At 44.0% G+C, this 3,447-nt stretch overlaps 1 non-coding gene and 1 pseudogene across 1 annotated transcript; both read left to right on the top strand.

Moving 5' to 3' along the window:
* The first annotated feature begins 1,308 nt into the window (after window positions 1–1,308).
* On the top strand, window positions 1,309–1,401 carry LOC124903255 (small nucleolar RNA SNORD116). The gene has a single exon (XR_007063950.1). It is a non-coding gene; the product is annotated as a small nucleolar RNA SNORD116 (small nucleolar RNA).
* Window positions 1,442–1,826, top strand: AZU1P1 (azurocidin 1 pseudogene 1; annotated as a pseudogene).

Genomic DNA, 3,447 nt, shown 5'->3' with positions numbered 1-3,447 from the left:
GCTGTCTCACCATACCCCCCAATGCAGTGCCTTTGTTTTTATTTATGAACAATCATTAAAGAGTGAGTCAATGAATGAGTAAGTCAACCAATGGACTGATCATGTCGACTGATTTGAAAACTGACCTGACCATATCTTGAGTATATCTGGCCTAGTATTTCCACTACAGTTTAATTTGTTTGGTATGATGGCCCATACATGGAATTCTGTGCAGTAACTGAAAAGTAGCAACACCATATGTAGAGGTAACAGGTTTTCTGTGGATTTTTTTTTTCTGCCTTTTAATTACCATTAATACTTCTTGGCTACCATTCTTGAGTTCTCTAAGTAGACAGTTTCATCTATCATAAAAAGAAATCTTACTTTTCTATATTTGCCTCTTTTATTTTTTCCTTTCTCTATACTTTCTCTATTTCTGCTACACATCCCACTAAGATAAGTAACAAGGTAGCCTGGACCCCTCAGTCTTGTCACTTTCAACTTTTCTACTAAATGTAATGGTAACTCTTGGGCTAAGTATATAGTGTTTATGGTGGCCATTAATAAATTTGTCTTTAATACACTTTTAGAGTTTTACTGATGAATGGATTCTGAGTGTTATTGGATTTCTTCTCATTATCTTTTAAGCTAGTGATATGCACTGTTTTATGTTACTGGCTACTGTGAGGAAGTAGCCAAGATCTACTATGTATTTTGCTGCAATGAAAATAATAGTATGTACTCTCCAGATTACTGTGAAGTTGGGAGAAAACTGACAAGCAGATCACCTGAAAGTGCTGGTTACGTGGTAGATGCCGGTGAAAGATTCCCATTGCCTTTCTTGGATTTCGCTTAGCTCTAGAGAACTGTGTCAGCTCCTCCCCATGCATCTGGGCACATTCTGTCCCCAGGTCCTGCCCCTGCTTAGGTATTGTCTTTGCATTTCCATTTCCTGGTTTGGCATATCTCTGGGTCCTGGGGTTCCTCATCTTCCTTCATCCCTGGCTCAGAGTTGGCTTCTTTTCAGACTGTGGCTCTGGCTCTGGCTCTGGCTCTGGCCGTGCTGGGACTTAGCTCCTCCTCTGCTTACATACAGGCCCTTCCCCCAACCCCACTCCCACACTACCTTCCTGCCCCCAGCCATGGATCTCCCTAGAACTCTCCACCGCCACACCTCTGTGCTGCTGCCACTTGACATCAGACACCAAGAGTGGCTTCTTGCCAGACATGCCTACTGGGTTTAAACCCTCGGGTTTGACAATAAAAAAGAGAGAGGAATTGTTTACAACAAGAAGTTAGGCCAAAAAATGAATTTTAGAAATTAATTTGAGATTGATGATGGCACCCCCATAAAACCATTCCTTAGGAAATCTGAACAAAATGAGTGAAAACTCACTAGTTGTTCTCATTGAGGCTGGGCCCCAGGATTCTGACCTTGATTCAGGATCAGGGGATCGTGATCTTGATTCAGGATCAGGAAATTCACTTCTGTGGGGGTGCCCTGGTCCGTCCTGACTTCCAGCTGACTGTGGGCCAGCTGCTTCCACAGCAGGAGAAATGTCCTCCGTGATGCTGGGGGCCCACGACCTGAGGTGGGGGGAGAGATTCCAGCAGATGTGTTCCATACGGACCATCCGTGAGAATGGCTGACCCCCACCTGGATGACTTGCTGCTGCAGCTGGACTGTGAAGCTGACCTCCCCAGCGGTGTGGTGCTGGGGTCGCTGCACCTGCAGAATGCCACAGTGGGAGCATGCACCAGCTGCCAGGTGGCTGCTAGGGGGACCCAACAGAGAGGGAGGCACCTCTCATGCTTCCCAGGGGTTGTCAATGTGAGGGTGACCCCCGAGGTGGAAAAATTCATTAAAAATGAATGATTTCTCAAAACCACTACAGGCAACTCCCAGGTACAAAGCCTAATTGAATGCCACTTTTTAAGAACCAATTTAGCCCTGAGTTAGAGGTGGTGGAAATCTTCATTCTACTTGCAAATCAGCTGCGGTGCTTTAGCCAACTTCTGCAGTGTTCTACGTTCTATTAAAGCTTACACTGAAAATGCTTAGTTAACAAACGCACTTTATCAATACAATAAAGTGTTCACCTACTATTTTTAGGCAACAGCTAGGCAACCCACTGTGTTTCCTTCATCATTTTAGCTACTGAGCTGTTAGAAGTCTGTATTATAGTAAAAAAACAAACAAAACAAAACAAAAAAACTTATTTTTTACTCAGGTTTCTGATATAACCATTTTATATCCCTCCTCTTTTACCTTCTTGGTCTTGTCATTTTATTCTTGCATTATTATGTAAAAACAAACAATCTTGTCATTTTATTCTTGCATTATTATGTAAAAACAAACAATGACTTGGGGTCTTCATTGTGTTGCTTTTGTAGATACTGTTTTTAAAAAGAAGGAAAAAAGTAATTTTCCCTTTTTCTTTCCTTATAGAAAGGCTAGCAAAGCCTTAGGATTTGAGTTCCAAAGTTTACTGTCTTTAGGGGAGTTTGCAATTATTTTTGTATTTCAAGGACTAAAGCTCTAAATAACCCACCCACCCCACTGCTGTGCTGCCCCAAAGCTGTGTTTGGAAATGCTCAGCACTTTTGAAAAAGGCAAAAAAGTAGATGAGCATCTGGACTGGAGACTTGTGCTTTGACCGATAAGGAGAAAAGACAGAGTAAGTGGTATTGCATTTCCAAGCCCTCAGAACTGGGAGACAAGAGAGGGGACTATGGGTAGTAGACACCGGTAAACACCTGTAGACTCCAGTAACCCCTCCTGCATAGCACCCCAAAGGTGGTAGGTCCTCAGATAAAGGTGACTGTATGCATACCAAGTGCCTTGGTCCTGTCAACTGAAGAATGACCAGGCTCATAGATTTGGAAAGGAGAGCTTTATTACTCATAAAGGGTTGCAGCCTGACAGGTGGCCATTCTAACAGGCTGGGAAAGCGTAGCTTCTGGCAGAAGCCAGAAACAGACAGACATCTGGAAGGCGGGGGCAAAGGGAACAGGAACAGAGTGGCTAAAACATGCACATGTGCAATTGAGCTTCACGCCCCTTCATGAGTCACATGTGCAAAAAATGGCAGCATTAGCATGATCTAAGGGTGGAGTTTCTGGCCATTTGACATTAAAAAGTGAAGCAGAGAACACGATAATCATCACTGTGCCTCCTCCATAGACTAGACAGAACTAATCTGGGGTTGGAGATCACTTATCAGGAAGGAATGCTGGCTGGTTGTTGTGTTGTCAAAACCACAAAGTGGAGGGGCAGCATTAGGCAGCTGGTGGGTATCAGCTTGAGTCTTCCCAAAGGGCTGGTTTCTGTTAAACCCTTAGGGAAGGAAGTCTAATAGTGGTTAGCCAACGAGGGAGTTTAAGGAGGCATGTTCAACCTCCCATCCCACCGTGGCTGGGAACTCAGCTTCCAAGGTTTCCCTGGGGTCTTCTTGGCCAAGAGGGGGT

This window comes from Homo sapiens, chromosome 13 (genome assembly GCF_000001405.40).
Source record: "Homo sapiens chromosome 13, GRCh38.p14 Primary Assembly".
NCBI lineage: Eukaryota > Metazoa > Chordata > Mammalia > Primates > Hominidae > Homo > Homo sapiens.
This window is presented reverse-complemented; position numbering and strand designations above follow the sequence as displayed.